The 21,617-nt window shown below is 54.4% G+C and overlaps 1 pseudogene across 7 annotated transcripts in view, besides 11 other annotated features; it reads left to right on the top strand.

Annotated features, from left to right (window-relative positions):
- Nucleotides 1–430: a silencer, noted in NCBI's record as "silent region_13559". NCBI's record gives its function as "represses an Ori minimal core promoter by ATAC-STARR-seq in GM12878 lymphoblastoid cells {active_cell/tissue: GM12878}" and the evidence as "EXISTENCE:reporter gene assay evidence [ECO:0000049][PMID:35858748]".
- The window catches only part of LRP5L (LDL receptor related protein 5 like (pseudogene)), a 53,991-nt pseudogene continuing 32,533 nt past the window's right edge, over nucleotides 160–21,617 (top strand). For all 7 annotated transcript variants that reach the window (XR_005228030.2, XR_007068026.1, XR_007068032.1 and 4 more), the window contains exon 1: nucleotides 160–366. The product of XR_005228030.2 is annotated as an LDL receptor related protein 5 like (pseudogene), transcript variant X8 (transcript). The remainder of the gene's footprint in view (nucleotides 367–21,617) is intronic.
- Nucleotides 471–640: a silencer, noted in NCBI's record as "silent region_13558". NCBI's record gives its function as "represses an Ori minimal core promoter by ATAC-STARR-seq in GM12878 lymphoblastoid cells {active_cell/tissue: GM12878}" and the evidence as "EXISTENCE:reporter gene assay evidence [ECO:0000049][PMID:35858748]".
- Nucleotides 1,192–1,486: a silencer, noted in NCBI's record as "tiled region #13977; HepG2 Repressive DNase unmatched - State 1:Tss". NCBI's record gives its function as "represses a minimal TATA promoter and a strong SV40 promoter by Sharpr-MPRA in HepG2 cells {active_cell/tissue: HepG2}" and the evidence as "EXISTENCE:reporter gene assay evidence [ECO:0000049][PMID:27701403]".
- Nucleotides 2,862–3,061: an enhancer, noted in NCBI's record as "active region_18785". NCBI's record gives its function as "activates an Ori minimal core promoter by ATAC-STARR-seq in GM12878 lymphoblastoid cells {active_cell/tissue: GM12878}" and the evidence as "EXISTENCE:reporter gene assay evidence [ECO:0000049][PMID:35858748]".
- Nucleotides 4,312–4,491: an enhancer, noted in NCBI's record as "active region_18784". NCBI's record gives its function as "activates an Ori minimal core promoter by ATAC-STARR-seq in GM12878 lymphoblastoid cells {active_cell/tissue: GM12878}" and the evidence as "EXISTENCE:reporter gene assay evidence [ECO:0000049][PMID:35858748]".
- Nucleotides 4,602–4,701: an enhancer, noted in NCBI's record as "active region_18783". NCBI's record gives its function as "activates an Ori minimal core promoter by ATAC-STARR-seq in GM12878 lymphoblastoid cells {active_cell/tissue: GM12878}" and the evidence as "EXISTENCE:reporter gene assay evidence [ECO:0000049][PMID:35858748]".
- Nucleotides 4,862–4,921: an enhancer, noted in NCBI's record as "active region_18782". NCBI's record gives its function as "activates an Ori minimal core promoter by ATAC-STARR-seq in GM12878 lymphoblastoid cells {active_cell/tissue: GM12878}" and the evidence as "EXISTENCE:reporter gene assay evidence [ECO:0000049][PMID:35858748]".
- Nucleotides 6,647–7,146: an enhancer, noted in NCBI's record as "H3K4me1 hESC enhancer chr22:25794389-25794888 (GRCh37/hg19 assembly coordinates)". NCBI's record gives its function as "activates a minimal SCP1, AML or CMV promoter by ChIP-STARR-seq in primed H9 embryonic stem cells {active_cell/tissue: H9 hESC(primed)}" and the evidence as "EXISTENCE:reporter gene assay evidence [ECO:0000049][PMID:30033119]".
- Nucleotides 11,618–12,516: an enhancer, noted in NCBI's record as "H3K27ac-H3K4me1 hESC enhancer chr22:25789019-25789917 (GRCh37/hg19 assembly coordinates)". NCBI's record gives its function as "activates a minimal SCP1, AML or CMV promoter by ChIP-STARR-seq in naive H9 embryonic stem cells {active_cell/tissue: H9 hESC(naive)}" and the evidence as "EXISTENCE:reporter gene assay evidence [ECO:0000049][PMID:30033119]".
- Nucleotides 12,517–13,416: an enhancer, noted in NCBI's record as "H3K27ac-H3K4me1 hESC enhancer chr22:25788119-25789018 (GRCh37/hg19 assembly coordinates)". NCBI's record gives its function as "activates a minimal SCP1, AML or CMV promoter by ChIP-STARR-seq in primed H9 embryonic stem cells {active_cell/tissue: H9 hESC(primed)}" and the evidence as "EXISTENCE:reporter gene assay evidence [ECO:0000049][PMID:30033119]".
- Nucleotides 18,895–19,871: an enhancer, noted in NCBI's record as "H3K27ac-H3K4me1 hESC enhancer chr22:25781664-25782640 (GRCh37/hg19 assembly coordinates)". NCBI's record gives its function as "activates a minimal SCP1, AML or CMV promoter by ChIP-STARR-seq in primed H9 embryonic stem cells {active_cell/tissue: H9 hESC(primed)}" and the evidence as "EXISTENCE:reporter gene assay evidence [ECO:0000049][PMID:30033119]".

The following is a 21,617-nucleotide window of genomic DNA, read 5'->3' as shown; positions in this document are numbered from 1 at the left end:
AGGGCGAGGAGCGCGGGGAGGGGCCGCGGGGACCCGGGCCGCTGGGGCCGTGGGGCCCGCCCGGCCGCCGGCCGGCTCCCTGGGGCGCGGGCGGCTGCGTCAGCGGGGGGCGGAGACGCGGCGCTGCTTCCGCTCACGCGCGCCCTGCTCCCTCCTCCCAGTCGTCCTGGTCCGCGGCGCCCAACGGGGAAGACGAAGATGCAGGGACACGCGCGAGGAGCCGCCGCAGCCGCCGCCGCCGCGCTGTGGAGCCCGAGTGAGCGCGGCGCCAGCCCGTCCGGCCGCTGGACAACATGGAGGCTGCACTGCCCGGGCCGCCGTGGCCGCTGCTGCTGGCGCTGTGCGGCTGCCCGGCCCCCGCCGCAGGTAGGTGGGCGCGGGCCGACCCGGGACCGCGGGCTGCTAGTACAATGGCCCGGGCGGCCCCGCGACCAAGTGCACGGGCGCCACCGCCGCCTTGGAAGCGAGTTGGGGGCGAGTTGGGGCGCGCACCGGGGATCCCCCCGCCGTCCCTGCCCGGGCCATCCCCGGGGACGCCGCGTCCCGGGCCGGTGAGGAGGGCGCGCGGGCGGCGCCGGCCGGTCCTCACCTGCCCGCGCCCGTAGGAAGCCAGGAGCCGAGCCCGCGCTGGGCCCGTGTGGCCCGGGCCGGGCACCAAGTTGGGACTTGGGGCCCGGAGGCGGGCCTGGCCCGGGAAGCCGGTTCGCGACTCTGTTTCCAGCGGCCGCGCGGCCGGCCCGCGTGCTCCGAGGACCGGCTGAGGTTGCAGCGAGAAAGTTCTGAGCCCGGGTGCGGGGCTGCCTGGCCGGTGGCGCTGCCCCTGTGAGCCGTGGCTGTGGGTTTCCAAGCGGACTGACACATGCCAGGTGCCGGGGCGACCCGAATGCCCCTTGTGGCCGCCGGGGTCCCAGATGGTGTCCCTCCCCGGGTCGGCTGCCCGGAGGGGGGCGGGGGGGGTGGTGACATGGTCCCAGAGCGCGGGACAGTAGGGGAGGCAGGTTCGTGCCTCAGTTGTACTCTCCAGTGGGGAGAGAGTAAGGCCGGGCAACTTTGTCTCCAACTTTTGGTGTTTCCCAAGGGGTGGAGTTGAGGTCAGGAGGACTCAGGACACTTAAGCAGTTTGTGAAACGCTACACATGTTCTTTTAATTTGGAGATGGCCATGTGGTTTTTGAAGCAAGCCTCTTGCTGCCTAAATCATTCTCTTCGGATGTGCGTGTTTTGCTTTTCTGGAGTATGGCCAGCCAAGTGGCACGGCCCGCAAGTGCCTGTGCACGCCTGGGCTCCTGTTCTGTTTGTGGCAGTTTAGCTGGGAGGATCTTGGGCCCCTTTGTCTGTGCCTCCTTAAGGCAAACAGCTGTCTCCTTGAATATTTCCAGTGTGGATGGTGCAGGGGGGTGGCCGTGTAGTCTGTTCCCCTGGGCTGCAGCCTCTCTTCTGGAGGTGTAGGGGGCAGCGGGGAACAGGAGGAGCTTGGCCTTTGTTTCAAGTCCTCCTACCTCTGACCCAAACCTAGAGATTCTGTGGACAGTTTCACCCCAAATTTGCCTCTCTCAGGAGCGTGTTTACATTTTGGGGCCTTGTCGGGAGCTAGCAAAACAAGGTGAAGACAAAACAGCGACAGTATCTGGGGAGTACAGGCCAGCACCGTTCCTTTTTCCGGAAATGCGTGGGTCAAGGAGGCAAAAGGGGTTTTGAGGAAGCTGTTTGTTTTAAAGGGGGAGTTTCTAGGCTGACCACGTTTGCCTTTCACCTCATTGCAGTTTGGGTTTTGTGCACGTTTTAGGTGATGTTGCTGGAATCAAATGTCTGTCGTTCATGTGGTTGGAGCCCCTAAGGAGAAAGAACTACAGCTGTGGAGTTCAGTTGTATGTGAGGCAAAAATAGAGTTGATTATTTTAACATTAGGCAGCAAGGCCTGGGAGCCCCAGCAAATGTGGTGATCCAGTCCTAAAATAAAAGGAAAAGGAGGAACGGTTTTGATGTTATGTCCCTGATTTTCTGTGTGAGATACATGCCTCGGACTTCAGCGAAGCCAGTAAGTGGGCAGCTAATTATTTTTCCTGATTGCTTCCTGTTGCAATTGGAAGCTGTGAACCCACGGAAATGGCTTTGTTCTAGTGGTCCCAGTGCTGAGAACCTCCCCAGCTTCCAAGCCCTAGGCCTCTCTCCTCGGGGCCCAAGTGCTTATTCCAGGACCCGCCTGTCTAGGCACCCCCTTTCACCCTGGAGTTTCCTCCTGTAGATGCCCAAGGCCAAGGCCAGCAGGGCTGAGTGGGGTTAACTAAGGGCTGTGTGGGGCACCCTGAGAGAGTCCCCTCTAAAGCAGGGCCCCTTGGCGTTGAACTTCCCTTGTTCAGTTCCAAGAAATTCCCGGGTGAACCCGAGCCAACATTTGTTCAGCACTTTTCTGGGGAGATCCACCTCGTGCTTCCTGTCGTTTTTGGAATCCGTTTAATTTCAGCGGCACTGTGTCACTGCTCAGGCATTTAGTAGAACTCACACACAGAGATGGGGGGTGAAGGTGCAGGCAGGTGAGGCCTCCGAGTTGCTTTCTCCCTTGCAGCAACGGGTTGCAGGGCTGATAGGGGGTTTTGGGGTCAGACCCACCTGGATTTACATGCTCAGTAGCTGTTTGACTTTGGGCACCATACCTAGTTTCTGTCATCTTGCCTCGCTCCTCTCCCAGGCCTTGGGAAGCCCTTAGTGCCCTGTGTGAGACCTTTAGCCCCATCCCTGGCCCAGGCTGGGGACTGGCAGCGGCAGTGCTGCAGTGGCAGTTGTATGTAGGAGTCCTTGATCTTTCTGGCCCTGGCCGGTCTAGAGGCTGTTATTACAATAGTCTGTGTGACCTTGGACATCCAGTCCACTGACCACCTCACTCACTCACTGCTGCAGCCCTGGGGGGCAGGAGTAGTTAGCACTGTGGACAGAGCCCCTGTGTCCAGAGTCTGATCCCAGCCTGGCCGCTTGCTGTGCTGGGAAGCTTGAGAAGCTGACGCTACCTTTGTGTGCCTCAGTTTTCTCAGCTGTAAAATGGGGATAAGAATCCTTCCTACCATGAATTCAGTGAGTGAACGTGCACCTGGCCCAGTGTAATGCTGTTGCTGTTTCGCTTTGGTGTCTGCTACTGTGTGAAGTGCTGGGGTTGAATGTGATAGAATGGCAAATAAGGCCCCTCCGCTGTAGGCAGGGCTTCCCGTGTAGAGGGGAGGAAGGGAAACAAGCTGTGCAGCTATGCAGAGATGGGCCCAGGGGTGCTCCTTCACCCTCGGGGCGTCCTGTGAGAGGTCCTTAGAGGCCAGATCATGCTGTGGAGTCTCACTGTGATCCAGAAGGCAGTGGAAGCTACTGGAAGGCTTTAGGCAGGACTGATAGGAAATGAAAGCTGAAGCCAGACCTTTCCTAGGTGAAAAGTGTCAAGTTGATCTTTTTTTTTTAATTGAGGTGAAACTTACATGATATAAAATTAAAGTATACAAGGCAGGCATTTAGTACATCCACAGTGCTTACAACCATCACTTCTATGAAGTTAGAAGAGATTTCCATCACCCCAAAGTAAAACCCATACCCATTGCACAGTGACTTCTCGTTCCCTCTCCCCCGACCCCCTGATGAGCACCAGTCTGCTTTCTGCCTCTATGGCTCTGCCTGTTCTGTGCATTTTGTATGAAGGGAATCATACAATACATCGTTGTTTTTTGTGGCTGACTTCCTTGGTTACTGTAATGTTTTCAGGGGTCATCCAAGTAGTCCCAGGTATGGGTGTTTCAGCCTTTTTTTTTTTTTTTTTTTTGAGATGGAGTCTTGCTCTGTTGCCCAGGCTGGAGTGCAGTGGCACAATCTCGGCTCACTGCAACTTCTGCCTCCTGGATTTAAGTGATTCTCCTGCCTCTGCCTCCCAAATAGCTTGGATTACTAATGGGTGCTCGCCACCACACCCAGCAAATTTTTGTATTTTTAGTAGAGACGGGGTTTCACCATGTTGGCAAGGCTGGTCTTGAACTCCTGACGTCAAGTGAGCTGGCAGCCTCGGCCTCCCAAAGTGCTGGGATTACAGGCGTGAGCCACCATGCCCGTCCTATTTCAACCCTTTTTGTGGCTGAATAATATTCCATTGTGTGGAGGGACCACATTATATTTGTCAGTTCATCCACTGATTGGATTGATATTGGTTGGTTGTGTCTCCCAGCCAGCATGAACAGGGCTCATGCGTCCTGGTGGAGGTGGCTGGTGGGAGGATCTGGCCTGAGACTCTCCTGCTGAGTGAGGTTCAGGAATGAGCCAGGTGATGAGAATGAGCTGGGTAGTCAGTGTTGGCCTCTGAGAGGAGGGGCCTGGGCCCTGAGAGGAGCCCTGGGAGGGCAGGGTGAGGGCCAAGTTCAGGTTACAGAAGCTGTGAGACAGCCGGACATTTGTGGTTTGAGGCCTTGGAGACAATGCGCTCTCCAAACAGGGAGTCTGTTGGGGAGGCCCTGGCAGGAGCTGGGGCTGCATCCAGCCCCTTGGCTTGGTGGCCTCGTTCACTTATTTGTTCAGGAAGCAGCAGGGTCTGGGCTCCATGCCAGGCCACCCTGGAAGGCTGTCCTGGGGCAGCGCAACCCAAGCATGAAGGGCGGAGGCGGCTGTGGCTTGCTACGAGCTGGCGCCAGGGACCCACTGGCTGGCTCCAGCTGCTCTCTGCATTCTCTTCAGCTCTGGAGAGCTGTGTGCCGGCCCTCAGCCTGAGTTTCCTCATCTGCAAAATTGGGACGATGGTGTCCACCTTGCCGGTGCTGGTGGGGTCCCAAGAGCTGTTGTCTGGGGTAAGGGAGCTGGGGGCCAAAAGCTCATGCCCTGGGGCCCCAGCTGTCCTTTGAAGAGTACCCTGAGGGTGTGACTGAGAGCCAGTCCCCAGCACCCTTGTCCAGATGGGGACCAGGAGGTGGGTGAAGGTATTTGTGGTCTGAGCTCTGTGCTGGTTGCCCCCGAGGGGGCCTAGAGCCCTGCGTTAAGAGCAGAGCCCAGCCGGGCACGGTGGTTCACGCCTGTAATCCCAGCACTTTGGGAGGCCGAGGCAGGCAGATCACAAGGTCAGGAGATCGAGACCTTCCTGGCTAACACGGTGAAACCCCATCTCTACTAAAAATACAAAAAACTAGCCGGGCGTGGAGGCAGGCACCTGTAGTCCCAACTACTCGGGAGGTTGAGGCAGGAGAATGGTGTGAACCCGGGAGGCGGAGCTTGCAGTGAGCCGAGATTGGGCCACTGCACTCCAGACTCGGGGACAGAGTGAGACTCCGTCTCCAAAAAAAAAAAAAAAAAAAGCAGAGCCGGATGCTGGCCCTATCCCTTCTTGCCCCACCTGGTTAAATGGGGGCTGCCTTCCTGGGTTGGGAGTTGGGGGGGACTTGTGCCCCTAAGCCATGCAGAGACATGTGCAGACGGGCCGCTCTTACACATGCGGGTGGCCATCCATGGTCCCTGCCCATTTCCAAGGCCCTTGTAGTGGTCCCTGTGCTCCAGGTCCAGTCTCTGGTTTCCAGTTTGTCATGGTTTGCCTGTCGCCTTGTAGGGGGCAGTTGACGCTTTGCTGGCCTGGCTCATGGTGTGCCAGAGCCTGTGGCTGCTGCGCAACTGTGCCTCTTGCTCTCACAGTGGCAGGAGCCTCATATTCTGATTGAGCCTGATGGGCTGGAGGATCCTTCACAGGGTCACTGTTCTCTGTCCCTCGTGCTTGGGATCTCCTGCCGTGGACCCCCTGGGAGGTTGTCTTGCGGGTGGGGAGATTGTGCTTTCTGGGTATTTTCTTTTTTTTTTTTTGAGACGGAGTCTGGCTCTGTTGCCCAGGCTAGAGTGCAGTGGTGCGATCTCAGCTCACTGCAAGCTCCACCTCCTGAGTTCACACCGTTCCTCTGCCTCAGCCTCCTGAGTAGCTGGGACTACAGGCACCCGCCACCAAGCTTGGCTAATTTTTTGTATTTGTTTTTTTAGTAGAGACGAGGTTTCACCTTGTTAGCCAGGATGGTCTCCATCTCCTGACCTTGTCATCTGCCTGCCTCGGCCTCCCAAAGTGCTGGGATTACAGGCGTGAGCCACCGTGCCTGGTCGCTTTCTGGGTATTTTCTTATTTGCTCTATTGAAGTGTATTTAATTTAATATGTATATTTAAAACATCTGTTTTTAGTTTGCCTTATTGTAATATTTTTTGGAGATTTAAATTTTTTTTTTTTGAGACGGAGTCTCACTCTGTCCCCCAGACTGCAGTGCAGTGGTGCGATCTCGGCTCACTGCAAGCTCCGCTTCCCGGGTTCATGCCATTCTCCTGCCTCAGCCTCCCGAGTAGCTGGGACTACAGGCACCTGCCACCACGCCCGGCTAATTTTTTGTATTTTTTTAAGTAGAGACGGGGTTTCACCATGTTAGCCAAGATGGTCTCAATCTCCTGACTTCGTGATCCGCCCGCCTCGGCCTCCCAAAGTGCTGGGATTACAGGCAGGAGCCATCGCGCCCAGCCAAGATTTAATTTTTTTTTTTTTTTGAGTCTTGCTCTGTTGCCCAGTCTGGAGTGCAGTGATACAATCACTGCTCACTGCAGCGTCTACCTCCTGGGCTGAAGCAATCCTCTCACCTCAGCCCGCAAGTAGTTGAGACCACAGGTGTGTACCACCACGGCCAGCTAATTTTATTTATTTTTTGTAGAGACAGGGTTTCACTATGTTGCCCAGGCTGGTCTTGAACTCCTGGGCTCAAGTGATCCACCCACCTCAGCCTCCCCAAGTGCTGGGATTACAGGTATGAGTCACTGCCCCCAGCCTTAATGTAATTTTTCTTGTGGTTAAACTGAAGTGAAGGTTCACTCAAAGAGGAAAGTGGTTTTTAGCCTTTCTGAGGCCTCGAGGGCCCCTTCAAGCGTATGATAATGGTTCCTCTCCTGAGAAGGTGCCTGGTGGGGGCGGCACAGGCTCCACTCCACTGCATTGCAAGAATCCAGGGCCCCGCAGGGCTCAGAGCCCCGCTCCCAGTCTCCTTGTGGGGCATTGGGGGGCACTCACCTTCTGAGTGCCTCAGTTTCCCTTTTTGTAAAATGAAACCAGCTGATTCCAATCTCTATGGACTCTTCTAGCACAGGGCTTCACATTTTAGTTCCTTCAGGATCCTGAGGCCTCTGGACCGCTAGGGATTGAGGGTACCCCCAGAAGAGGTGCTGCTTCTGTGCCCTCTGTCGCCCAAGCTGGAGTGCAGTGGCACAGTCTCGGCTCACTGCAACCTCCGCCTCCCTGGTTCAAGAGATTCTCATGCCTCAGCAGCTGGGACTACAGGTGTCCGCCACCATGCCCAAATAATTTTTGTATTTTTAGTAGAGACGGGGTTTTGCCACGTTGGCCAGGCTGATCTCGAACTCCTGACCTCGAGTGATCTGCCTGCCTCGGCCTCCTAAAGTGCTGGGATTACAGGCGTGAGTCACCGTGTCCAGCCTGCCTGGCTAATTTTTAAAAATTTGTTGTCGAGATGGGTGTCTTGCTTTGCTGCCCAGTCTGGTCTTGAACTCCTGGCATCCAGCTATCCTCCCACGTCAGCCTTCCAAAGTGTTGGGATTACAGGCATGAGCCACTGTGCCCAGCCTATTTTATTATTATTATTTAATTTTATTTTTTCTCACTATTGCCCAGGCTGGCCTCCAACTCCTGGGCTTGAACGATCTTCCCACCTCAGCCTCCTGAGTAGCTGGGACTGCAGGCATGTGCCACCACACCCTACTTTGTACTTTTACTTTCATATCTTTGCTCTTATTAAAAGCCAAGTGCTATTTCATAGTACACAGGTGCACTTTACAGCATTTACTTGATTGAGTTTTCCCAGGCTTCATTACTGTTACAAGGCATGCTTGCTCGTGTGTCTCTGCATGTGTATAAGTGTTTTTATAGGAAACATTCCTAGTCAAAGAGTGTGTCCATTTAGGTTTTTAAATATATTGATGCCGGGCACAGTGGCTCACCCCAGTAATCCCAGCACTTTGGGAGGTTGAGGCAGGAGGATTACTTGAGTCCAGGAGTTCGAGACCAGCCTGGGCAACATTGGGAGACCCCCATCTCTACAAAAAAATTAAAAATTAGCTGGGTATGATTGCACACTCCTGTAGTCTCAGCTACCTGAAAGACTGAGGTGGGAAAATCTCTTGAGCCCAGGAGGTCAAGGCTACATTAAGCCATGATCATGGCACTGCAACAGATCTAGCCTGGGCAGCAGAGCGAGACCCTGTCTCAAATACATACATACATACCTCCTAAAAGGCTGTACCAATTCATACCTGCAAGCATCTATGAGAACATACACATTCCTATATCCTCTCTGATGCTGGCAATTACCAGATTTTGGTTTTTTGTGTTTTCTTTGGTCCCAATTTGGTTAAAAATTATAACACCTTTTGATTTGCACAACCCTCATTTCCGGTTTATTGGTATTTACTTTTCTGCAAATTGCCTACACTTATCCATCTTTCTATTGTTTTTCTTTCTTTTTTTGAGACGGAGTCTTGCTTGTCTCCCAGGCTGGAGTGCAATGGTGCGATCGCCATCTTGGTTCACTGCAACCCTTGCCTCCCGGATTCAAGCCATTCTCCTGGCTAAGCCTCCCAAGTAGCTGGGACTACAGGCATGCGCCACCACCCCCAGCTAATTTTTATATTTTTAGTGGAGACAAGGTTTCACCCTGTTGGCCAGGCTGGTCTCGAACTCCTGACCTCAAGTGACCTGTCCACCTCCCAAAGTGCTGGGATTACAGACGTAAGCCACGGTGCCTGGACTGTTTGTCTTTTTCTCATTGATTTGTGGGAGGTCTTTATTTGGTGTGGACTTTAATTCTTTGTTCTGTTTGTTTCACGTTTCACTGCTGGTCTTTGGCTAGTCCTTCATCCTTGTTTCTGGTGGTACATTATCTTAAAGGCATTAAGAAGTTTCATGTAATCACAACTCTATCTTTTATGGCTTTTTTCCTATCCCTTGTTCCTCCACCTCCAGATTATAAGTATATTCTCCATTATTTTCTTCCAGGAGTGTTACTGTTTTGTGTTTTACATTCAGACATTATTCTGATTTTTTTTTGTATATGGTATGAGGTAGGGGTCTGGCCAGTGAATAGGGAGTTGTCCAACACCTTGGTGGGATGATCCAACCTGTCCATTCATTGAAAATGCTGCTCTTTTATGTGTAGTGTCCACAGACACCTGGGTCCTGATTCCAGACCCTTCCCTGTGCTCCACTGCCTATACTGGAGTGCTGCTGTCTCCATCTCTGAAGCATCAGACCATATTTTGAGATCAGTTGTGCAAATTCCCACCTCACTGTCCTTTTCAAAAGATGTGTTGGCTCTTCTTGCATGTTTACGCTTTTGTGGTGAACTTCAGAGCCATCCTATCAGGTTCCACCCTTTGATCTCTTGAACTGGGGATGGTAAGTGGTGATATCCAACAGGTGTCAGAGGGCTGGATTTTAAGTAGCCCCTGATGAGCTGGCAGTCTCAGGCTGTGGAAGTGAATTCATCTGCTGGGTGCGGTGGAGCCGGCCTTGACATTTGTGGGTTTTGCTGACATTTGTGGAGGGCTCTGGAGGTGCCCTTTGTGCCACCTTGCCCAAGCCACTCCTGCTGCCCAGCTCCCTCCTGTGTCTGCTCAGGAAAGAAACTCTAATGCACGCTAATTTTAGCATTAGCCCGAGGGCAAATGTAATTACTGAGTTAATTATCACTCCCCTCCCCTAGTTCATCCCAGAGCAAAATGTGGGCACCTTTCATTTCTTGCCTGGGATGTACCCCTCTATTAACCCAGATGGAGAGGCGGTACCTGCCTGGCAAAGCTCTCAGGAAATTGTTCAACGGGGCATTAATAGCTATCCGAGCGCGTGGCCCTGGCCGGAACATGCCAGCCCGGGTGCTGGGTGCCCTCCAGGCTCTGTCCACCTTGGGTTCTGCCCCAGGAAGGAGCAGGCTGTCTCCTCTAGGGGACCTGAAGCTTAATGTCCTCACTGTACGAGGTAGTTTTGGAGCAAGACATGTTCTGGGGCTTGCTTCTGTGGGTAAAGGCCACTTCTCCACACTTTTCCCCAGAGAGAACTTGGTTCCCAAAAGGAGCCTGGATCCGGGTGTGGCTGTGCTGCCCTGGCCTCCTCCTCACTTCAGCTGGAGCTTCCGAGCTGACATCCATGCCTGTTCCTTCTCAGCACTGTAGACACAGGCCCCAGCTCTGCCCCCGCCCAGCCGAAAGCCTGCCCCCCACCCTCCCCTCCACTCAGACCCCCAGGGCTCCGAGGCTTTACCCACAGGCCCTGCAGATTCAGATTCTGTCATCAAATTCAGAGCTGATGATATCAGCTTTTACTGGGTCTCCTTGCTTTCTAGAACCTCCCCTTTGCCCATTTATCTTATGCTCTGGCAAGATTAATTTTTCTCCAAGTAGTTTTCATCATGTCCTTCCTTTTCTCAGATGGTCGTGCCCATTCTCCAGCATCTGAAGTTGGAACTTTTTGGCCTGGCATGCTGTGCTGCCCTGAGCAGGCCTGCCCATCTTCTGCCCCTGGTGTGGGCACTTCTCTTGCCAGACCCATCTGGAACCTTCCATGGTCCACCCAGCCTGGGTGGGCTTGAGGACAGGGGCTGTCTTCGTCTGTGCCCTTCTGCCTCCAGTGTGATGTCTGGTAGATGATCAGTAACTGTTCTGAGGCCACCCAAGGGCTCATCTGTCCAGAGAGCAGATTTTACCCATGCTTACCTCCTCTGGCTTGAATTCTGCTGGAGCATGAGCTGACTCTGCCATCCCCAAATCTAGCCCAGGTTGTAGAACGCCTGTCTGGCTATGTGACAGAAAGCTTCTGGGCCAAGTGTGAGGACCCCCATGGTCCTGCAGTAAGAGCCCATATTTCTGGGGTGTGGGAAACCCAGTGTACCCCAAAGGGACTTGACCGTGAAGTCCCGGGTCCATGTGGTACCTACCAACCTCCCATGGCCCAGACTGTATGAGCTGTCACTGGGTGGGGGCTTGGGCATTTGCATCCTTCACTTAGCATTCTTACCATTTTCAAAAACCTTTATATAAACATTTTTAATCATGCAAAGGGAATTATGGAATAATAAGTGTTTATATTAAAAAGTTTTGGTGCTTTTGATTTATTTATTTTTTGAGACGGAGTCTCACTCTGTTGCCCAGGCTAGAGTGCAGTGGTGCGATCTCTGCTCACTGAAAGCTCCGCCTCCCGGGTTCATGCCATTCTCCTGCCTCAGCCTCCCAAGTAGCTGGGACTACAGGCGCCCGCCACCACGCCCGGCTAATTTTTTTGTATTTTTAGTAGAGACGGGGTTTCACTGTGTTAGCCAGGATGGTCTCGATCTCCTGACCTCAGGTGATCCACCCACCTCGGCCTCCCAAAGTGCTGGGATTACAGGCGTGAGCCACCACACCTGGCCTGGTGTTTTTTACATTTATTTTGAGACAGAGTCTCACTCTGTTGCCCAGGCTGGAGTGCATTGGTGCCATCACAGCCTACTGCAGCCTCGATCTCCCCCAGGTTCATGTGGTTCTCCTGCCTCAGCCTTCTGAGTAGTTGGGGCTACAGGCACACACCACCATGCCCAGGTAATTTTTTTAAAAAAACTTCTTTTGTAGAGATGGGGTCCCACCATGTTGCCCAGGCTCATTTGGAACTCCTGGGCTCAATCCTCCTGCCTCAGCCCCCCAAAGTGCTGGGATTACAGGCGTGAGCCACTGCGCATAGCTAATTTGGTACTTTTGCGTTAAAACTATAGAGTAGGTGACTGAGTGATGTTTTTAATATGTTCTCAAGAATTTGAACATGAAGAGAGTTTCACTCTCCCAGGTTGTGCCCCTGGGAGTTCGTGCCCTTGCCACCAGCTTGCTGCTCAGGCGGCCCAGGGAGTTTGCTGCAGTGCCGGAGGACTCCTGGGCCTGGGCTGTGCCTCCCCGCAGCCGCCTGCTCCCTTGGGACACTCATTCAGCTGCTGTGGCCACTGCCACCCACAGTCCTTGCCTTGTAGGCTCCACTGCAGCTCTGGTTACAAAGAGCAGTGGTCAGGGACTCCTGACCTGCCATGCAGGGCACCACAGGCTTGTGGTGGCTTTGGTGCCGTCTGCTGCGTCTGCTTCCTTTAGGGCACAGAGTTCTCCCTCTCAGGAGGGCTGAGCTGCTGGAGCTCTAGTCCTGCCACAGAGTAGTCCCCAGTGCGGCGTTGCCTGTCCCTGTGGAGCAGGTGACTACCTGGCTGCGAGTGGAACAGCAGGCCATGGCTCTCGTAGTGGTCTGTGACAGCATATCACCCTGTGGGACAGACCCCCGGGACCTAGTGGGCTGGGACAGTGAGAACTATGTCCACAGGGGAGGCTTGGAGACTGTGTGCCCGGTGTGGCCCTGTGTGCTGACCCAGCTGGGCTCTGCCTTGCGTGGCCCCCAGGCTGCCCGGCCTGTCCCCCGAAGGCCTGGGGCAGAGCTCCAGAGAGCCATGGCTAGCCGAGGGCTCATGGATTCTCACCTGCCCCCTGCACCTCAGGAGACACCTGGGCAGCGAACAGCTTGAGGTGTGCAGAGGATGGCTCACGATAGGAGGGAAGGACAAGGGGCGCTTTCCATCCCTTTGGCTACCAGTTTTAATTAAAAAAAAAATTTCCATCTATTTTGAAAAGTTTTCTCCTCTTAAGGAAATGACGTTTACTAAGCAACAGCCCCTTCTGCTCATCGTCCAGCCGTGCTCGCTGGCAGAGCAGAGGCTGGTGGGATTCCACCTGTTCCGCACCGGGGGGTGCCACTTGGCTTCTCAGTGTCGAAGGCCCTTCTTGGACCCAGTACATCTCCACAGCCCCCTTGGGCTGTGGGTCCCTGGGTTGGGCATGACTGACTTGGAGTGTGATGAGAGATCTCCTCCAGGATCCAGGCAGGTCTGGCATGCCTCTGGGTGCTAGGTGTTGGGCTCCAGGTGGCCTCCTTGCTTTGCTTTTCTCTGAGGGTCCAGAGAGCCCTGCTCAGAGACCCCCCAGGTGAGCATTTCTCCCTCTGGACTCCTGTGCCCTGCACAGCCCGGTTCTGACCACAGACCTCCTGCATCAGGGTGGACTGTAGCCCAGGGCGGGACACCACCACACCCGTCATCCCCAACCCCTGGAGCTCCCTGACCGAGGCTCCTCCGGGTACTTAACCAGTGATCTGATCTCACCACAGTCAAGGATTAGAGCCTCTCCTGGAGGACTGGGGTCCAAGGGGATGATGTGTTTTAGGTGGGAAACAGGTTCAGGGATGCCCCCAGGGTTACTGGCTTGTGTGGGCAGAGCAGTATGAAAGGCAGATGAGAGTCCAGAATTGGGATCACGCCGTGACCCCGTGATCCATGAGGTCCTTGAGCAAGAGGGACGCACTCAGTTGAAGTTCCCCCCTCTTGCTTTGTGTAGGTGTGAAGAGGATGGGTGTGCCCTGTTCCGTTCTTGGCTGCCCACAGTATCTAAGGCCAGCTTGGTCATCAAGGCATGCTGGAAGGTCACCCCAGGTGGCACAGGTGGCTTGGGGTGTGCTTCTGGGTAGCAGCCACTATGCAGCGCTGGCCTCCAAGCAGAAGCTACTGTTTCGGACACCTAAGGTGTCCCCAGCCTCCTTCCCCTACCCCGAGGTTTTCTGGAATAGCTGAGGGGGCAGTGGTGAGCTGCAGGGTTGGGGTCCTGGGGGCTGCGTGTCCACCCAGCCTCCAGAGGAACACATGCAGGCCCCCATCACCCGTTCCTGCCCAACCTGCTTTTCTGTCTCACTCCTAGCTCTGTGGTCTCGGACAAGCATGTTAACTGCTCCAGGGCTCAGTTTCCCCATCTGTAATAGGGAATGATCTTTATGCTCCCACAGGATCGTCCTGAGGCTGCAGAGAGGTGGTGTTGAAAAGTGCCTAGCTCAGGGCCTGGCTCAGTGACGGTTAGCTGTTAGGGTTACCATCGCATTGCAATTGTTACTCCATGGTGAAGACACCCCGGGGACTCTGGACTTGTTTGGCTCCACTGAAAGGCTGCTTGGGTGAAACAATCTCAGCTCTGCATAGCGTGGCCTGTGGGTTGCACTCATGACAGTGTGGAGCCTGTTCAGTCGGTACCGAGTGTGCGACCTTGCCTAGCTGGCCCCGGCATTTATTTTGTAGCTGGAGCCCTGGTGGGATGGGGTCGGGTGGGCTCTGGGAGTCTGGGGGAACAGGTGCAGGAACCTGCGGGTGCCCCTCCCCTGGGGACCTCTGCTTTGTTAGAGGTATGGCTGGGGGCTGACCATCTATTTGTAGGTGTTGCCAGAGCAGTCCCCGCCTCTCCTTTTCAGAGGACATTGTTGAGGGGACCTTGCCTTCTGCGTCTTGGCTGGCTGCTTCATCTGTGGGGGGCTCCCCCTGGCTGACCAACAGCCCTTTCTGGACCCCTTGCATCAGCGCCTCCCCAGTCAGCTTCACTGCTGAAGGCAGGGCCAGCATGGCCACCAGGGTCTTCCCCCTCTGCCCGAGGTCTCTGCCCGCTCAGCTTCCCTCACCCTGGTTGTGGATGGTCAGTGCCTCTGCCCTGCTCTGCTAACCAGGCCCTGTGCCCAGTTGGCACTCCGTGGTTACTGCGAGATGTGCTCTCCAGTCTGTGTGCCAGAAGGGGCCTCTGAAGTGGAGGGGGGCGCCACCCTCTCTCCTACAGCCTGCTGTGTGGCTCCCCATCGTCTCTGGGATGAGAGCAGACCCCGTGAAGCCTTGAGCCCCTTGCTCTCCAGCTGTGAGCCCAGGTGGGACCACCCGGCTACAAGAGTGTTAGGTCTGGCTGTGTAGGAGACGTGTGTCTCCACACTGGAGCCCTTGTGGCACACAGGAAGCCTGCGTGGTCCTCATGGTGGGGAGGGGTCCCCGGGGATGCATGGAGTCTCGCTCCTAGGTTGCTGTGTGGCTTCAGTGCTCTGTACATCCATGCCCCTGTCCTGCAGATGTCAACATCCAGTTGAGGAGAACGTGGACTTTGCCCAGTGTTGTGCAGGGATAGTGGGGCCAGGCTGGAGCCCACGTGTCCTACTCTCACCCCTGGCCAAGGTGGGGGTTATCTGCCCTGGCCAAGCTGTGCTGCCCATCCCTGCCCGCCCTAGCAGGTGAGGGCCTAGGGTGGGATCCCACCCATGAGCAGGAGAGGCTTTTTGACTTGCTGGCCTCCCAGGCTCCCCCTCCAAAGCCAAGTCCTCCCCAGGACGGTTCTTGCCCCCGAGAAGGGGCAGAGTGGGTGTTGGGCTGCAGCGAGCCTCTCTTGGTTCCATTTCCTCATCATCCTGGGGACAGAGGGCTTGTCCTGGAGCACAGGACCAGGATTATGCTGAGGTCCTGGGAGGCCATGGTCCTGAGGGGACCCAGTGAAGGCCAGGAGGGGACAAGCATCCCTCTGGGTGTAGGGAGGGTCACCCCAGCGCTTCCGCAGATCTGACCCACTGGCTGCAGCTTCTGTGCTTGACCCTTTTTGCAAAGATATCAAGGGGTCTTTCAGTTGCCCCTCCCCACCCCCTTAGGCAGCATGAAAACAATTTAACTCTTGCAGAAAGAACCTGGGAATTGATCTCCCCTGTCACTGATCAGCCAAGTGTGACTTTGCGTCAGTTTCTTGGTCCCCTTATGCCCCAGTCTCCCCATCTGTAAAATGGAGTGACAGTAGTTACACCTCTTATGAGGACTGAGTGAAGTCAGGAACCAGGAGCAGCTCCCACACGAGACTCAGAAAGTGTGGCAGGCATGGAAGGTACGGACCCATGAAGCCAGGCCTGGCGCCTTAGGAAAAAAACGGAGCTTCCCTCCAGGTTTCCCCCGGAGGGAATCTGCTTCGTCCTATGCACCTGCCTGCAGAGGCCCTCGCACGCTGTCAGTCCACGGTGAATGCTTGGTGGAAGAGTTCACCCAGGACCTACAAAACCATAGTGCTCAGCTTCTCCAAATTCCGATTAACTTCAAGACCCGACACTTAAGCTTGATTCCAAGGCAATCAGAGCTGATCCTCAACACTGGACTTTGCAGGCAGCTCCCAAACCCACATACATATTTAGAACTAAGAAATGCCAGTTCCTTAAAGAATGTTAGCCTCTGAGATGCATCAAGGGACCAGGAGGCAAGGGGTTAAAGGCAAACCGTGGCATTCCCCAAATCTGTCCAGTTCCCTGGCATGGGACAGTGTCATGGAGCCCAAGGTGGCATCTTTTGTTTGGCTGCTGACGGCGGCCTTCGCGCCTTGGCATCCACGTCACTGCAATTCTCCAGGAACAGTAGATCATTTGAAAGCAGAGCTGCCACATTTTGCTCAATAGAGGGATTTTGTAGAGTGATGATAAATTCGGCATGTCTTTATTATTATTTTTCCAACACTTAAATAAAAGCTGGTACAAAGGTATGTTTGTTTCTGAAATGTGTTTCCTTCCCCAGATGTTCTTTTCTGCCAATTCCAAAATGCATTCTGAGCTCAGTCCTCCAGTTTCCTCTCTGTGGGGAAGAATAATGAGATCTTTGTAACCACACAGGGGAAGTGGCCACTTCCCTCTGCTATGGGCATTGGGGAGGGGCTAGGAGGTCCCACCTCCTCCCACCTTGATGGAAACCACAAGTCTTTGCCAGCCCAGCCGACTGTCAGGGGTTTGTCAGCCTCCTTTCCCATGGTGGTAATTTGCAGGGTCGTGGCTCGGGGCACTGCAGTCTGTACCTCTGTCCCTGGATCCTTGAGTTTGCCGTGTGGCCTTGCAGTAAGTGCTTCCATCTGCATGGCATTTGTGGACTCTGGGACTTGGTACTATCTTCATTACCTGGAGTCGAACTCACCCTTTTCCTTTTCCATCTGTCTCTCTTGCATCAAATGCTGGTCCCCACCCAAAAGGTAGCCCAGTCTGCAGGACATGGCGCAGAGGTAGAGTTGACGGCTTCACCAGAGTCCAGCGGGGCACAGACCTTCCTTGGCTGCTCCGTCTGTCGCTTCGTGACTTGAGACTGCGGGGATGGGGTACTTGAGGGATCTGTGAGCCCCGCCTTCCCACACGTGTGCATGCACACACACATGTGCACAGTACTTGAGAAGTACCACCTTAGTTGGATTTGAAGGACAGCCAAGACACCTGTATAAAGTTTGTAGTTAGGGTCGTTTCGATACTGGCCTGAATTAAGAGCAGTCTCCATGGGGTTGCTTTCTGTGGGGTATGTGTTTAATGAAAATCCTTGTTTTTAAATAAATATATCCTGCTTTAGAACGCCCAAGATATAAAATCTAGACTTCATAGATAAAAATAGCTAACATTTGTAGTGTATCACAGTGTGCTAGGCGGGCTCTAAGAGATGTTTGATTTTTTTAATCCTTCCAGTTGCCCTGTGAGCTGGGGGCCATCACTACCCTCATTTTATAGATGAAGAAACTGAGGCTGGGGGAGGTCAATTAACTTGCTCAATTTCATGCAGGCAAAACTAGGAATCGGCAGACGGTGGTTCCAGTGCCTGCCTCTTAATTGCTACGTATAAAAGTGTTTTCTTCCATCAATAAAAGAAATCAGCGAACAGCCTCCTGTGCGTTTCAGTAAGTGCAAGCCCTCCTTGTCATCCCAGACCTCAGCCTGCTCATTAATGGGTGAGGACACTGAGGCCTGGAGGGGACTGTGACATCGGAGCCACTCTCCTGGGGTCTGCCACTCCTGTCGCCTCCCATACAAACCTGAGTGGCCACGTGACCCTGGGGGAGCGCTACCTAACTGTCCCAAGGAGAGGATGATCACTGCTGGCCTCCCACCAGCCATCAGTCCCCCACTGACTGACACCCCTGAGTCAGTCTCCACCCCAGGACTGTTTCTTTCACTCTTTGCCATGGCCTTGGGCCACTTCCGGGGGCTTGGCAAGGCAGGAGGCGTGGAACCAAGATGGTATATAATCAGAATGCTGTATTTTGTTGAAAATAAGAATGTCAGTAACAGGCTTGTTTCTGGCAGGTCAAACTGGGACCCTGAAATACATATTTTTCTCTGCTCTGCCCTAAAACTTCTAATTAATGAAAATGCACATTTGCAGACATCAATCAAATGTCATATTCCCTAGCAGCTTGTCCTGGGATCACTGACCTGGTCACATTCCGCAGTTGCTAACTCAGGGCTTGCAGAATGTGTGTGCACGTGTGTGTGTATATGTGTGTGTTAGCGAGAGAGACACATGCCTTCTGGGGAGCCCTGGTGGCCTGTTTCCTTCCCTACCAGGCCCCTGAGCTTCTGCTCCCTACCCTGCCCCCAGCCCCTTGTCAGCACGTGCATGGCCACTGCAATGAGATATAGATGTTCGCCCAATTAAAACATTGTAGAGGACACGTGGCTTTCAGGGAGAAACACTTTCTCTCAGGAAGATCTCTGCTGTGCAGTATTCCATAGCTAGACCCTGACTCTGGTCATCAGTGGACTCCATTAACAGCCTGGGTTTTGGAAAAGGCGATTTGCTTCTGGTAACTGGCTCCAGTGCACGAATGTTTCCTCCCTTTGCTGGAATCTCTGCCTGACCCAGACAGTGCTTGTGAACCAGCCCTGGTGGGCTCCGTGGGGTTCTGGGTCTGGGAGGCGAGGACTTGCCTGGGGTCATTCTCGTTCTGCATGTTAGTAGCTGTGCTGGCTGCATGAAGCCGTATCACAGAGACCCATGGGTCCTTTATATCCGGTCATTTGTCATTTGTATCTGGGGTGGTTAGTTGAAAGCAATTCCACAGTAGCCAAATCAAGAAAGTCACTGGCTCTCGCAGGAGCATGATTGGTGTGGGGTGAGCCCGGGAGTGTGGCCCAGGCAAGCCCTTCACCCTGGTGCGCATTAGCCTTCTTATCCAGGAAATGGGGGAGGCGGTCTGGGCCCAGGGAGGGAAGCATGCAGAGCTGGGGATCTCCACAGGTCCAGGATTCAGGGCGCCTCCGACCGTTCTCTGCCCAGCGCCTCCTCTTCAGTTTTACTTTGGTGTTTTCCATTTCACTTCTGCCTCTAGGCCAGTGTTTTTCAAAATGTGTTTCCTGAGTTGAAACGAAAAAATGTTCTGTGATCAGGTGCAGTTGGGAAATCCTGGGGGAGAGAAAGTGAACTAGGTTTCCTCACTGCAGGACTTCTCAGAGCCTTTATAATGGTAATTATGCTCCAGGCCTTGTCCCCCTCTACCTAGGCATCCTTTACTGGTTGGGAAGAGAGGGCAGGTTACAGATGAGGCCGGGTAAGCGGAGTTGTGCCTAACCTGATACCTGATGTCACCAACACATCTGGGCCATTTGGAGTGACCCAGCAAGTCCTTTGCTTGTCTCCCAGGACTTCCCAGAGTAGCCAGGCAGAGCCCTGGGCCAGTTCCCTTGTGGGGCTGGGCCGTGCCCAGAGCACAGGCAGGAGAACAGCTGCCTCCCCGCCTGCCCCAGGGCCTTGGTGTCAGGGCCATGGCCCCCAGCTCTGCAGTGGAGCACCAGGGACCTGTCTGGCCCATCTCCCTGTTGAGTGAAGACCAGGAGGCACCTGTCCTGTTCTGTGTGCTCAGAGGTGTCTAAAACCAGCTACCTCTTTTCTTTTTATCTTTTGCGAGTGATTTCTTATTTCCTGCTTCACCCCCAAGCGTGCCCCCAGTATGTTTCCTGTTCGCCTGCTTCCCTCACCTTTGAAATGTGGTCCCTGCTCGGGAAACTTGCCTGGACTTCAGTTAATTATGGTTTTCCTCCGGGCTGTGTGTGTGTGTGTGTGTGTGTGTGTGTGTGTGTGTGTGTGTATGTATGTGTGTGTGTGTGTATGTGAGTTTGAGTGTGTGAATGTGTGTGTTAAGATGAGAGAGAGTTGGATGGGGGGCCAGGGGCCAACAGGAATGGGGGTGGCTGAGCTGAGAGGCCAAGGGCAGGTTCCAGTTTGCATTGGGAGCCTGAGCTGGTGAGTGTGAGGTGGGGAGATGTAAGGTGTGTGTGGGGAGTGGGGTGCTGTCTGGGTGGCTGGGCTGGGAGAGGGCAGGTGGGGGCCAAGCTGGAAGAAGTGGTGTTATTCTGCAGCATGTGACATGCACAGACCTTGGGGGTGCAGCTCCAGGCTTTCTCTCTCCCCACCTACCCCCGAAGGTCCCACTCTCCACCTTCTGCAGCCAGCCTCCGTTTTGTCTGCCCCTGAGCTCCTCCACTCTTGGGATCCTAAGAAAAGCTTTTCATAATCCAAGTTGGTTTGGGACAGAGTCCTGCTCTGTCGCCTAGGCTAGAGTGTAGTGGTGTGATCTTGGCTCACAGCAGCCTCTGCCTCCGAGGTTCAAGTGATTCTCCTGCCTCAGCCTCCCGAGTAGCTGGGATTACAGGCATGTGCCACCACACCTGGCTAATTTTTGTATTTTTAGTAGAGACGGGGTTTCACCATGTTGCCCAGGCTGCTTTCAAACTCCTGACCTCAGGTGATCCACTCGCCTTGGCCTCCCAAAGTGTTGGCATTACAGGTGTGAGACACCATGCCTGGGCTTTTTTTTTTTTTTTTTTTTTTTTTGAGGCAGAGTCTCCCTTCTGTCATGCAAGCTGGAGCGCAGTGGCACCATCTCGGCTCACTGCAACCTCCGCCTCCGGGGTTCAAGTGATTCTCCTGCTCAGCCTCCCAAGTAGCTGGGATTACAGGCGCCCACCACTGCGCCCGGCTAATTTTTTGAGACGGAGCTTCGTTCTGTCACCCAGACTGGAGTGCAGTGGCGCGATCTTAGCTCACTGCAACCTCCATTTCCCCGGTTCAAGGGATTCTCCTGTTTCAGCCTCTGGAGTAGCTGGCATTACAGGTGCCTGCCACCATGCCTGGCTAATTTTTATATTTTTAGTAGAGATGGGGTTTCACCATGTTGGCCAGGCTGGTCTCAAACTCCTAACCTCAAATGATCCACCGGCCTCGGCCTCCCAAAGTGCTGAGATTACAAGTGTGAGCCACTGCACCCAGCCTGACCTAGATCTTCTAAGTTAGAAAGTCCCAGAAGTGGGCGGCTGGGCACTCAGGTCTGCCACAGGAGCCCACCCGCCCTCCTCCCTGAAGTCAGGGCTCTGGAAGCCCTTCCCTTGGCCATGCCCTGTGGGATACTGCCCAAGCTCTGGAGTAGGACTGAAGACCCCTGGGCCCTAGTCCTGGGGCCACCAACTTGCTGTTGCCCTGCGCAGTCACCTCCCCCGACTCCCACGGCGCTGGCTGCAGGAGCCAGGCTGGGAGGGGTTGGTTGCCAGACCCTGCAGATGCCCCTCATCTGGGCCTGCCCAGGGTAGTGGGAATGAGAGTGCGGGGTGAGGGTCTGTCCTCACCAAGGCCGGTGTTTGGGAGCTCGGGAAGCAGAGTGCCATGGTGGCTGAGTTCACCTCTTTGCTCTGTGCGGCGACTTAGGAAGCCCTCGACTGGCTTCTGACAAGCACAGGAAGGGCTGGAGCGTTTCAGAGCCCGGCGGGTTTGTGTGAGAGCCAGGTGTGTGTGTGTCTGAGCAACTGAGTGTGGGAGTGGGAGGATGTGAGCCTGTGTGTGCGTGCGCACGCCTGCGTGTGTGCATGTGAGCGGATATTTGTATGCGTGTGTGCATGTGATTATGTGTGCACATGTATGTGCCCATGTGAGTGGGTATGTGCGCAAGAGTGTCTGCATCTGAAC

Source organism: Homo sapiens, chromosome 22, assembly GCF_000001405.40.
Source record: "Homo sapiens chromosome 22, GRCh38.p14 Primary Assembly".
In the NCBI taxonomy this organism is placed as follows: domain Eukaryota; kingdom Metazoa; phylum Chordata; class Mammalia; order Primates; family Hominidae; genus Homo; species Homo sapiens.
Note: the sequence above shows the minus strand (reverse complement) of the source record. Positions and strands in the feature narration are given on the sequence as shown.